Source organism: Homo sapiens, chromosome 7 (assembly GCF_000001405.40).
Source record: "Homo sapiens chromosome 7, GRCh38.p14 Primary Assembly".
Lineage (NCBI taxonomy): Eukaryota > Metazoa > Chordata > Mammalia > Primates > Hominidae > Homo > Homo sapiens.
In genome coordinates this window covers 127,795,247-127,808,282 of record NC_000007.14, presented here as the reverse complement: position 1 = coordinate 127,808,282, position 13,036 = coordinate 127,795,247, and the positions used below count along the sequence as shown (strand labels likewise).

The 13,036-nt window shown below is 40.2% G+C and overlaps 1 protein-coding gene across 2 annotated transcripts in view, besides 1 other annotated feature; it reads right to left on the bottom strand.

Annotated features, from left to right (window-relative positions):
* The window catches only part of SND1 (staphylococcal nuclease and tudor domain containing 1), a 440,400-nt gene that overhangs the window by 284,311 nt on the left and 143,053 nt on the right, over window positions 1-13,036 (bottom strand). For both annotated transcript variants that reach the window (NM_014390.4, XM_017011987.3), the window contains exon 11: window positions 710-799. In NM_014390.4, the coding sequence (NP_055205.2) occupies window positions 710-799 (90 nt within the window). The remainder of the gene's footprint in view (window positions 1-709; window positions 800-13,036) is intronic.
* Window positions 9,108-9,455: a silencer, noted in NCBI's record as "fragment chr7:127438882-127439229 (GRCh37/hg19 assembly coordinates)". NCBI's record gives its function as "represses an EF-1alpha promoter that drives an FKBP-Casp9 reporter gene in an ReSE screen in K562 erythroleukemia cells {active_cell/tissue: K562}" and the evidence as "EXISTENCE:reporter gene assay evidence [ECO:0000049][PMID:32094911]".

Below are 13,036 nucleotides of genomic sequence, written 5' to 3'. Positions count from 1 at the left end.
GCTGAGGTGGTAGAAATGCTTGAACTCAGGGTGCAGAGGTTGCAGTGAGCTGAGATCACACCTCTGCACTCCAGACTAGGCAACAGAGTGAGATGTTGTCTCAAAAAAAAAAAAAAAAAGAAGCCATCAAGCTACACAAAAATCTGCACATGAACTATCAGGAAGCCACACACCCCTTCCTGAAAAAAAAAACTCCCACAGGGTATAGGAAATTCTGCCAGCCAGAAGAATAGAGGGAGCATTGATGCCACAGTGCATTACAATAGGCGTGCTCTTAGTCCAGGTCATCCCCTCTTCCCCTTATAGCCAGCCTATCCCTCAGAAGTAGGGGAAGCATGAAAAAGCAGCAACCTTCCCTCGCTAGTAAATTCCATAGCCCTGGACATTTAATGAAGGTGGCTGGAGAGAACAAGAGAGCCAACTGAATGGAGCTCAGGGCAATATGCAATTATTAAAACTGGAGTTGAGCCCGGACCCTGCTGTGAGACTATTGGCAATCAAACTGTGGTCAGGGCCCCAATTTTAAACCTCTCCCATCGGGTACCGTTTCTGACACATAAACACGCCTCTCTTCATATCAAAGTAATTCCATTTGACTTGATGGAGAAGTGTCATCTGCTGGTAAAGGGCCCAGCTTATAACAATTGCCTCCAAAAGATTAGCTTAAGCCCAACCACTTGCAAATATGCTTCTGTCATCAATTACTTACCTTCTTCCCAATAAGCTTTTTTCGAAGAAATTCCCGGGCCTCAAACATGTAAGGAATGTCATACAGGGGACGCAGTTTCTTGTTCTTATCCTAAAAGTAAAATAAAACATGACATCAGGAATGAACAATATCAAATGAACATGTACAACAGCACAAGATATAGGAATGTGTCTGAAATTGGTTATCTCTTAGTATCGCAAATATTAAATGTGTTAAGACACATAATAAATGATTAAAAGTATTTGGTTGAAATGCTTTACTGAGAATAGGGCTACCTTTTTCACATAACAGGCTCACAAATAAGAAATGAAGTGTTTGTAATTACCCAAACTGGAAACAAATGGTCTTTAACACAGACATAGAGGCATAAACTGTATTACAGAAGAAGCTCAATTAAGTATTAGGACCCTTCAAATATTTATAGATATTTTAAATCCAATTCTATTACTCAAAAAATCTTTACTGAGCACCTACCAACTGTTAGTTCCATACAAAGCATTCTGTAAATACATATATAATCCTGGACTCAAAAATTATGAAACTTAAAATAGTAATAACAGAAATCCTACAGATATGAAATAGCAACACAAAGCAGTTTTTTTCTTCCTTTTTTTTCAGACAGAGTCTTGCTCTGTTGCCCAGGCTGGAGTGCAGGGGCATGATCTTGGCTCACTGCAACCTCCGCCTCCTGGGTTCAAGCAACTCTTGTGCCTCAGCCTCCACAGTAGCTGGGATTACAGGCATGTGTCACCACACCCAGCTAATTTTTGTATTTTTAGTAGAGATGGGGTTTCACCTATTGGCTAGGCTGGTCTCAAACTCCTGACCTCAAATGATCCACCTGCCTCTGCCTCCCACCCAAAGTGCTGGGATTACAGGCCTGAGCCATCACACCTGGACAAGTGTTTTGATTAAGTGCTATGCTAATACATGTGATACAGACTAGGGACTAAATGCTATAAGTGTTCAGGGAAGTGGAAAGAAGTAATCAGGAAATGTTTCATTGACAAGGTCAGATTTAATATGAGTTTGCAGGATAGTAAAGAAATAGGAGGAAAATTAAAGTTGGAAAAAACAGAAAAACCAAAAGAAGAGAGGCAGGAAGAAATAGTATGTCAACACATACACACTTACTTCATTATCTCATAGGCCCCAGACTTCTCCTAAAAGAGGTGGCTATTCTAAGCAATGCCATTTTTAGATGATATAAGAGGGTCTATCTAGATGAAGGTAACAGAAGTAGGAAAGGACAGGAGCCCGAGAGATGATGAGAACCACTTGAAGAAATGAATTAACGGGAACTGACAATGGTGTAGAAAGGGAGGATAAAGGAGTAGGAATCCAATGTGGAGTCATGATGACATGCGTAAGTCAAGAGACTTTTGTCTTTGTATAAGAAATAAGAGATCCTGACTACACCAGTTGGTATACTTCACTTTAATGTTTCCCTCCCAGAAGCCTATAAGTTCCAAGACAAAAAAGACCCATTTGTTTTTCTTTAACTCCCCAGAGCCAAGTACAGTACCTCCCTCATTAGTACATACTCAATAACTACAGTTAGATTTAAGTAGCTCCAAAGAAACATGCAGACTGATATACAAAGATCAAGTATGCTAGGAGAACAGGACTGCTTTGCAGACTTGAGAACCTCCAGGAAAATATTTGCAAAAAGTATAGAAAGACAGGAGAAAATCAAGGACTAACCCCTACCCTAGATGTACACCATTGATTCCACATCCTCTATGCTTATCCAATCTGGCCGAACCTTTGCCACCTATTATGCACCTGACAAAACAAGACACCTCTGTGCAGTCCAAACTGTACTCAAAGCAGATATTACATTTTTTCCTAAATAGCCGCTACTCTTAAGTAAACAGCCTTCATCATTTCAATGCCCCATTTAAAAATCATCCTAAGGTCGATATTATGGTTAAGGGGATCTATGAAATAGATGCTTCCTCCTCGATGCAAACTAAGCCTCCATGCCTCTAGCACATACAAACATTTCAATTCATTGACTACGACCAAGAAAATCTCTTATGAGAATGCAGATAACACTTTCAGTGTCAAGGAAATTTGAGTTTCATATTCACTAATCAGCTGTTTTCTACCTCCTGTTAAAAAAAGTGGGGGCAGAGGGCATAATGATCATCATTCCAGTGCTCTTCTAGAAACTTAAGGTAGCTCCTTCTCCCAGATCATATGTGGAAATCAACATACTCCAGATAGAAGCCTCTGGGGTGGCTGAGCTCTGATCAAGGCCCAGGTGTGTCATGATCACTGTCTAATGGGAAGGATATGACCGTAAACATGAAAATCTTTAGAGGAACAAAATAACATTGAGGTTTTCTTATAGAAAATAAAGGAAATGGGATGCATAGAAATTGCCTGGGTTAGGGGAATCCTGGTTAACACAAGGGACAGATGTACAGGATTATGGATATTTTATAAAAATAGATTACAAATCAGAGATCTCTTAAGGAGCCAAGTGTAACATAAGCTGTAAAGCAGAGTTGGTGATGGCGCTCAATCATACGTAAGAATGCTTGCCAGACAGAAGATACCAGGTGCCGGTAATAAACAGGATTTTAAATAAAGACAAAATCAATGGTTATCACAACCAGCCCTCAGGAATAAAGAAGTGTCAGCGTACTCATATTCACCAAACAACAGTGGACATTCTATTTTCTGAGGGTAGCTCTGTGATTACTAAAGACTAAGTGAACATTTTGAAAAATGAATTGAACAAAATAACGACACTGACCTTACATAGCCTTATGATTTGCCTCAGAACCCAAAATCCTGCAACTTACCTACATTTTTTTTTTTTTAAAGATATGGGGTCTTACTATGTTGCTCAGGCTAGTCTTGAACTCCTGGCTTCAGGCAGTCCTCCCATCTCGGCCTCCTGAGTAGCTAGGACTATAAGCATGCACCGCTACATCTGTCTCCCCACATATTCTGAAACAGCACAGAGGTAGAAAGGAATGTCAGTTGGCTGTAATTCCAAAACTAGGAATAAAAGGTAAGAAACACTGTTCCAATGAGCCTTCAAATGAAGATTATGGGTTGAGGTACAACTAAATGTTTGAAAATGTTTGTCTAAATAAGAATCTTGCTTTTAAGACACTCCACAGGACAAAATACCCTCAAAAGAATGAAGGAAAATAAAAAGTGTATCAACAAACATCCCAATAAAAAACAAGGCACCTTCAGAGTCTGATTATATGTCTCTCATGAAGCTAGAAAAGAACTAATAGCACAAGCAGAAAACAAGATACCACAGAATGATCTTGTTACTCTAACCCCTCAGAGCTAGTAGCTATTGACATCTGCAAACATCTTACAAGAGAGATATTAGAAGTCCCTGAGAAACCACAAAATAAAAGCAATTCCTGCAAATTACCAGGTATATAAAAGCCTTTGAAATCTCCAAGAGGCAAGTGAGGTATGGAATGTATTCTCAATTCTCAGAAAACAGGACTTTAGCTGAATTTTGCCTGCTTAAACAGAACTGTCTAGTTTAGATTCTAATTTACATGGAAATATTTTTTAAAAAATAAAAATAGGAAAAAATGCTTGCTTCATAAACTCGTGGGTGGATAATACACAAACCAATATGTGCTGTAATCACTGTTCATCCTGAGAAATGACATTGCATGTAGGCCCTGCAATGACTCACATTAGAGATGGAAGAGGTAACGTCAGTCATCTGTACCTCTCATCAGTTTGGGAAGGAGGCCCAATATCCACATCTCAGCATCTGAAGATACAGCTAGCATTTTTTCAGGAAGGTATTTTTGGCTGGTTGCCAAAATTGGGAGTCTGGCCAATGTTCATTAGGAGGGAATGAAAGAGAACTTGAATCAAGTCCTTATTCTCAACCCCCATTCAGGCCTAATTTTACCTAGCCCATTCTTAAACATTGTACCCCAAAACTAAATGACCTTGGGATACTGTAGGATTATTATAAATGAGGGAGAAATGAAGGCAGAAAAAAGAATATAAATTGATTGCCACTGATATACACTCAAAATGGTGAAGATGGTAAATTTTATATGTATATTTGATCTCATTTTTTAAAGTGTAAAAAATAAAAATTTTTTAATAGTAACAAATTATATATTTAAAAAAGGTTGAAATGTGTGGCTCCACTAAAATTTTAAAAGTTCTGTACTGAAAAGACATCATGAATGAAGTGAAAAGTCAAAGAAAGCACTGACAGTAGGGATAAGTGAAATGGAAAAAAGAACATGGAGAGCAGGAAAGGGAACAGGGGTGCAGGGCCACAGCTGTAATATCAGGGCAGGCCGCACTGAGATTGATTTTATCAAAAACTCAAAGAGGTATGGGATGCCCAGTCATCGGAAGAAAAGCAAAGATAACAGCCAATGCACATTAGCAACAAAGGCACCACCACTGCAGCTAGAGCAGAATGCAGGAGCGGGAGGCAGCAGGAGATGAAGACACAGAGCTGACTTCACATTTGAAAGAATTATTTTGCCTTTTGTGTTGAAAACAGACACTGTGACAAGAAAAGGATGGAGCAGAGGAAACAAATTAGGAGATTATGATAGTAATCTGGGCAGGAAATCATAAGAGATTACATCAAGGCAGCGGCAGTGAGGAAGGCAAGAAGTGGTCAGAACTGGATACATTCTGAAAGAAGACGGATGGAACGTTAGGAATGAAAGAAAAGGAGGAATCAAGAATGACTCCTTTTTTATCTGAGCAAATGTAAAGATGGCTGGGGTCCATCAAATAAGATCGGGAAGATTCACCAGTAGAATAGACGAACGGAGAAGGGTAAGATCAGGAGACATGCTAAGCTTCAGCTATTAGATACCTGAGTGGAGATGTTGAATGGGCAGTTGGGTATACAAACATGGAGTTTGGACCCAGCAAAATACGTTTGGGAGTTGTTGGCATATAGGTAGTATCTTCTAACATTAAAAGGTCATGAATATGCAACAGGAGACTGAGAAGGAGCAACCAGTAAGCAGGGCGGAAGGAAAATACCAGAATGCTGTGTTCTGGAAACCAAGAAAAGAAAACGAGTGGACAAGAAGGAATGATCAACTGTGTCAAATGCCACAAACTAAGGCAAGCAAAATGGGAACTAAGATTTGCACTTTGGATCTAGCTAAGTGTGGGTCATTGGTAGTTTGATGAGCATACTTTTGGTAGAGCACTAGGGGTAAAAGCCTGGTTGAAACTACAAATGGGTGCACAAGAGAATGTTAAGAAAAAACCTGAGGACAGCAAGAACAGTTGACCCTTGAATGACATGGGTTTAAACTGTGCAGGCCCACTTACATCTGGATTTTCTCCTGCCCCTGCCATTCCTGTGACAGCAAGACCAACCTCTCCTGTTCTGGTCAACAGTAGGCAATTAGTAGTTGAATTTTGGGGGGAGTAAAAAGTTCTAGAGCTGGGCGCGGTGGTTCACGCCTGTAATCCCAGCACTTTGGGAGGCCAAGGAAGGTGGATCATGAGGTCAGGAGATCAAGACCATCCTGGCTAACACAGTGAAACCCCATCTCTACTAAAAATACAAAAAAAAATTTAGCCAAGCATGGTGGTGGGTGCCTGTAGTCCCAGCTACTCGGGAGGCTGAGGCAGGAGAATGGCGTGAACTCTGGAGGTGGAGCTTGCAGTGAGCTGAGATCGCGCCACTGCACTCCAGCGGGGGCGACAGAGCAAGACTCTGTCTCAAAAAAAAAGAGTTCTATACATGAATTTTTGACCACGCGGAGGCTGGCAATCCTAAACCCCACACTATTCAAGGGTCAAGTGTATATACAGTCCTTTCAAAAGCTGTGTCATGAAGGAGTACGAAGAGACTATGGTGGCGTGCACCTTCCCCGGCAAGGAGGCGGCAGAGCGAAGATAAGGTTTTTGGGTTTGATTTCAGATTGGAGAAATAACAGGCAATGGTCTAGTGGTGAGCAAAGGAGAGAGAGAAGAGAACTGCTAAAGCAATGTCCATGCCATGGACAGAATGGCTTTCCACAGAGCACCAGTAGTTCATCTGCAGGTGTATGGATGCAGATTCCAGTAGGTGGGTGGATAGATGTGGTACTGAGAGTTGGTGGGGTTTCTCTTCTGATTACTTTGATTTACTCAGTAAATAACGGACAATTGATAAGAAAAAGAGAAATAAACCCATAGATGAATTGGCAAAAGATATAAACAGGTACTTCACTGAAGAAGTCCAAGGACACATTAAGTATGCAAAAAAGTATAACTTGATAATTGTCAGAAAAATGTAAATTGAGATACAGTACCTCCAACATATTGGCAAATATTTTAAAGAATGTGGAGAAATAGGAATGCCCCTTAACCACTGATGGGAGTATAAAAAGGTTAAATACTTTGGCACTTTGATGTGGCGCTATGTGGCACTGTTTGGTTAAAGGTGGTAACACACATACCTCTAACTACGAAATGCTACTTACAGGTAGGTATATGCCCCAGAAAATTCTCATACGTGCAAGACAAGTATAACAACATCCATATTAACACTGGATATGGTATAGTCACCCAATGGAATACACAGTAGTTTGGCTGATTTAGAGCAACATAGCAAATGGACAGACTGAAAAAACAAAATTGAGCTGGAAAAGCAAGTTGTAGACTGATATAGTAAAACCCAATATAAATGCAGACTAAAAACAGATACAAACAATAGTATATTATTCATAGAGCTATGTAAGCAGCAAAAGAATAAAAATGCACAATGGTTACTGATGTGGAATGGGTGGGGAGAGAAAGAGAAAACCTCAAAATGGGGTTGAGGACAAGTACACAGGGACTTTCAACTGTGTGTGTAATACACAACAGTAAAAAGGAAAAAAACAAGGCTCTGAAGCACACAGGGAAGAATATCAAGGCTGAAAAAGGAACCCAGATGTTTGTTATGTTATTCTATAAACTTATATTTCTTTTTTAAGACAAAAGTGTTGAGGGAGAGAAAATCTCCAAAGCTTCTTTGATCACCCTTTCCCATTTCTCCCAATATTTCATACTTTTATTCCTCTCTTCAGCAGAATAACTGGCCATTCTTTTCCTCATAAGAAATGTATTAAATTCCACTTATTTCCTCAAAAAAAGGATACTCTTCTACAGATATATCCTTCTGTGAGGCAGAGGAAATAAATTTAACTACAAAAGTTCTATAAACAGGGTCAAAAACAAGTTTGATTTTTATTTTTAAAAGGAGCCTCAACAATAATATATGAATTAATGTGCCCAAGTGGAATTATACTCCATGATGATCTTAAAACTGACTGTTGAATTACAATAAGAACTACAGACATGATCAGATTAAAATGGGTAAGATTTCAAACAGTAAATAATGGACCAGTCCCAGTTGCCCTGCCACACATGCCATTTTAATAAACAAAGGCTGCAATTTCCATTTCAATTATAGACTTAAAATAGGAGCATTACCACATGCCCTGGGCATATTTACAATTAAGGACCTTTCAATTCCCTTGGCATCCAGGAGACAGAACACACAGGGATAGCCACTGTTTTATGGTCCTTAACACATACAGTAGCACATTTCTATAAAAGGCAGGTCTGATAACTAGAAAGCTACAAGCTAGCAGCAGGAGGAAGGTTTAAAATTGTGACCACCTGGCCGAATAGAAGGTATCTTTTATCTTCCTAAGATACCTAAGTATTCCTAAAGGACCATACACAGAAGCCTCATAGATCCAAATACCTCAAGAGTTGTTTCAAGGAAAAAGCAGCTTTATTTCCAACCAGCTCTATTTCATTCTCTCCACTCAAAATACCTCTTAAAAGTAAATACAGTCTATAACAGAGACATGATCTGAGCAAGTGCCAAATTCACAGCAACGCAATACATTTAGCATATCTTCCAGGAAGCAAAGACGAAATGGAAAACAATAGAAACTAAAATCCAACTTTTTTAAAAACTGGAATCTACGTGATAAAATGTACAGGTGTGAGGTTAGAAGGAGGTGATTATGAAGATAACTACCTCCCTTAAGTGTTTCATTGTGGCTTGTGTAGGACCCTCCAATTTCTCAATCTTTCTGACAACCCTATTTGATCCTGCTGATCCCATCTTTAAGGCCCTATTAGCATGTGTGAAAAGCACTAGAACTTAAAGAATAATAATAGTTACAGATAACCCTATCAAATAGGCTTAATGCTGATAGCAGTCCTACCTGGTAAGGATCATGATCCCCCTTTTACTAGAAGGCAACTGAGGCTTACAGTTTAAGTAACTTGCCTGATGTCACATAACTAGTAATAGCAAAGCTGGGATTTTGATCCCAGGTACCCCAGAGGCTCATGGCTTGTGAGCCAGGCACTGCAGCTCTTGGTTTTTTACTGCCAAAAGACAATCACCACCTGTCGGTGGTTGTCAGGTTTCAGTGTGCCTAAGAATCTCCTGGGAGCTTATAACCATGCAGACTACCAAGCCCACACCAGATAATCTGACTCAGTAGGTCTGGTGTGATTCCCACAAACGTGCTTTTTAATTTTTGTTCTTTAACACAGTCTCGCTATGTTGTTGCTCCTGATGCAATGGCATGACAAGGGCTCACTGTAGCCTTGACGTTCCAGGCTCACATGATCCTTCCACCTCAGCCTGCCGAGTAGCTGGGGACTATAGGTATGCACCACCACACCCAGCTAATTATTTTAATTTTCTGTAGAGACAGGGTCTTGTTATGTTACCAGGGCTGATATCAAATTCCTGGGTTCAAGTGATCCTCCCGCCTCAGCCTTTCAAAGAGCTAGGATTATAGGCATGAGCCACTGTATCTGACCATGTGAATTTTTAAATAAGTAGCAAGGAGGTCTCCAGGCCACAAAAATGTCTATATTTTAGGCACTTGGCCCCATGACTTTTAAATCGAAGGCAATAAAACAAAGAGGGGGTCAGAGTTTTATTAAATGCAGAAAGCCACACTGGAGAACTTGATTAATGCCAAAATAGTTCAATTAAAAAAAAAAGTAAGTAGGTTAATAAAAATGGGAGAATTCAATACCCCTCCAACTTCTATACAAATAAGACACCAGGAAACATTGTAGTAACAGTGACAAAACAAAATTTCCAAATATTCCTTAGTTCCAGCTACTGGAAGCCTGGGTGTGGGATCTGAGAATCTAAGACAGCAAACCAACCTGGCCATGACAGGAATGGCAAGAGTAGGCATGTCTTGTCTCCTTTCCTGCCCAAGCCCCCAAAGCCATCCAGGGGTCTGGACCCACACTAGCCACAGTGAGAGCAGAAAAGAAGAGGCAGTGGCAATTCCAAGAAACAGTCTTGATTACAAATGTCCCCTGGCAGCTTGCCAGTAGGAGAACAAGAGTTTCACAGGACCAAAGAGGGAAGAAGTAAAGCAAATTTAGGCGGCCTCATGTCCTTAAAGAGCCTGACCCGTTATCTCCAGTGCACAGCATATGATTATATTCCACAGGTACCTGCACACCCTGAAATTAAAGTACCATTTTCAAGACCATCATGTAAGAAAAAAAATCTGCGTCTAAAGAGTGTTCTTCTACTCAATTACATTAGCCAACTAAGAGTATTTCAGAAGCACTTGCTATTTATTGCTCAGACGCAGTAAGGATGAGAGAGGGAAGAGGACAGAGAGAAGGATGGGGAGGAAATAGCAGGAGCCAAGCATGAGGTCTTTGTTCCCCCAAGACCCTGTCAGGACTTTAAATAGCTTAAAGGCTCTAGGGGCTCCCAAACCATTATCCAAGTAGCAAACCATATGCGGTCCCTTCACTTAGCTACAAATACTACTGCAAGGGGGGAAAAAAGGTGAAATAAAAGAACAGTATCACCCCTCACAAACCTAAATGTGAAAGGACCTGAAGGCTCACAAGAAGTTGGGCCACCAGCAGCAAAGTGGCTCCCACACCCACTGAAGAAAATTGAAAACAAAAAGATGCTGGGGCCCTGCCCCATCTTCCTTTCCCTGTGCAGGCATGGCTTCCAACATGTAACCGGACACAAACATTTCCCACCCCCGAAGTGCTCTGAAAGTAAAAATCTGCTCCAAGAGGGAATGAAGTCTATGCTACTTTTCCTAGAGGAACAGTGAGGACTCAGCCAGTAAGCCTGGGATAATGAAGCAGAAAGGGCATCAATTCCTGAAGAGAACAAGGCTTGAGTTCAGTTCTCCTGAAGGCAATGAGGAAAAGAGCTGCCCTCAACCTTGAAATCAAACATTCCCTGAATATTTCATGGCAAACAAATGGCCAAGAGTAGCAGGCAGCTTGATGCTGATCTACTAGAAACCTGGGCTCTACACAGTGATTGTGGCCCAACCTACTGGCCTCCTACTTGGTGGCTTGCCTCGGTTTCCTCTTAAGAATCAGCAAAATAGCCCGGGCACAGCGGCTCACACCTGTAATCCCAGCACTGTGGGAGGGTGAGGTGGGTGGATAACCTGAGGTCAAGAGTTCAAGACCGGCCTGACCAGCATGGTGAAACCCTGTCTCCACTAAAAATACAAAAATTAGCCCAGCATGGTGGCGTTCACCTGTAATCCCAGCTACTCGGGAGGCTGAGATAGGAGAATCGCTTGAACCCAGGAGGTGGAGGTTGCGTTTAGCTGAGATCATGCCACTGCACTCCAGCCTGGGTGACAGAGAGAGACTCAATAGCAAAAAAAAAAAAAAAAAAAAGACTCAGGAAAATAAAAATTATCTGGACTTACTTATGACTTTGTGGTGAAAACCAAGCAAAATTATTTCAAAACTGTAAAAATCAGAAATGGGCTAATTAGTACGAATTAAGGCAAGTCTAAGTTCACACTCAAGGAACATTTTGGCAAATATAAACTCCGTGAGAAAACCAGATCTATACTTTTACTGCTGCTAAGAAGCAAAGCTACTTAGCTTAAGTTTTACAGCATCTAACATGGATGTTAACAAGAGCAAAAATGTCAAGGGACAGAAGACGAGATAAGCCAAAGTTATAGCACTAATCACTTTCTGCCTTGTATTATTGTAATTTAATTACTTTATACAGGTCTTACTGCCTCTGCCAGACTACATGAGGGAAGATCTATGAACGAGAAAAAAAGCTGTTTATGGTACCTAGAAAGTGCCCAGCATAGTGCCACATTCCTAGAAATATCAAAATACTGAGGGAATATAATGGGGAATATAGAAAGACCTATCTAAAAAATTTATTTTTGACAACTAAAACTCTATTTCTTGTGATTATGGGATTTAATAAATCTGGTTAGTAAATCTCAAAGTGAACTTTAAAGGGGGGGCAGTTGTATCACTGCAACTTTATACCATTGTTAGCAAATTCATAGAATGAAGGCGCTTATACTATACTAGTTGAATACAAACTGTTCCTCAACCTTCTGGCTACTATTACTAAATATGATTTTATACTATACTAGATAAGTCCATTAATCAATAAAGATTAGAAAACATCAGCACTTTGGGAGGCCAAGGAGGGCGGATCACAAGGTCAGGAGATCGAGACCATCCTGGCTAACATGGTGAAACCCCGTCTCCACTAAAAATATAAAAAATTAGCTGGTAGTGGTGATGGGCGCCCGTAGTCCCAGCTACTAGGGAGGCTGAGGCAGGACAATGGCGTGAACCCGGGAGGCGGAGCTTGCAGTGAACCGAGATCACGCCACTGCACTCCAGCCTGGGTGACAGAGCAAGACTGTGTCTCAAAAATAAATAAAATAAAATAAATAAATAAATAAATAAAAGATTAGAAAACATTTAACTAGATATCTCATTGTACAACTGCAAAACCTAGACCCTTTGTAATTGCTAATGAAAAAGTAGTACTCTTGGCAGCCTGCGTCTAATGTTAGAGAAAATCCAAATTTACAAAATCCAAATAATCACTATGCTCTCTTTTGACCTAAGACTTTAAAACAATCTTCTATTCTCTCTACACCTACAAGTTTGACATAATGAATTATATTACTTATGATCTTGAAAAAACACACCCTCAGTCTATTATTAGCTAAGTTAGCAGAAATCCTTACAGAACACATATAATACCATTCAGAGTTCAAGTAAAGCTGAACTGATACACTAAAAATATTTTATGTGTGACAGTTCAACGCTAAAATAAATATGATAGTAAACTACCATATAAAGAGGAATATTTTCAAAAGAACTAGCTTCCTCAAAAAAACTCATGAAGTTGAGATTAACCCTAAGTAAACACAGTTGCTGGGGTTGGTATATTTTGAGGTTAAATTGGAAGAAAAGAAGGAAAGGGTAGTGAAAGATCATAGAGCTCTTCCTTTGCTCTGGAAAGACTCATCTGCAGCAATACAGGCATGA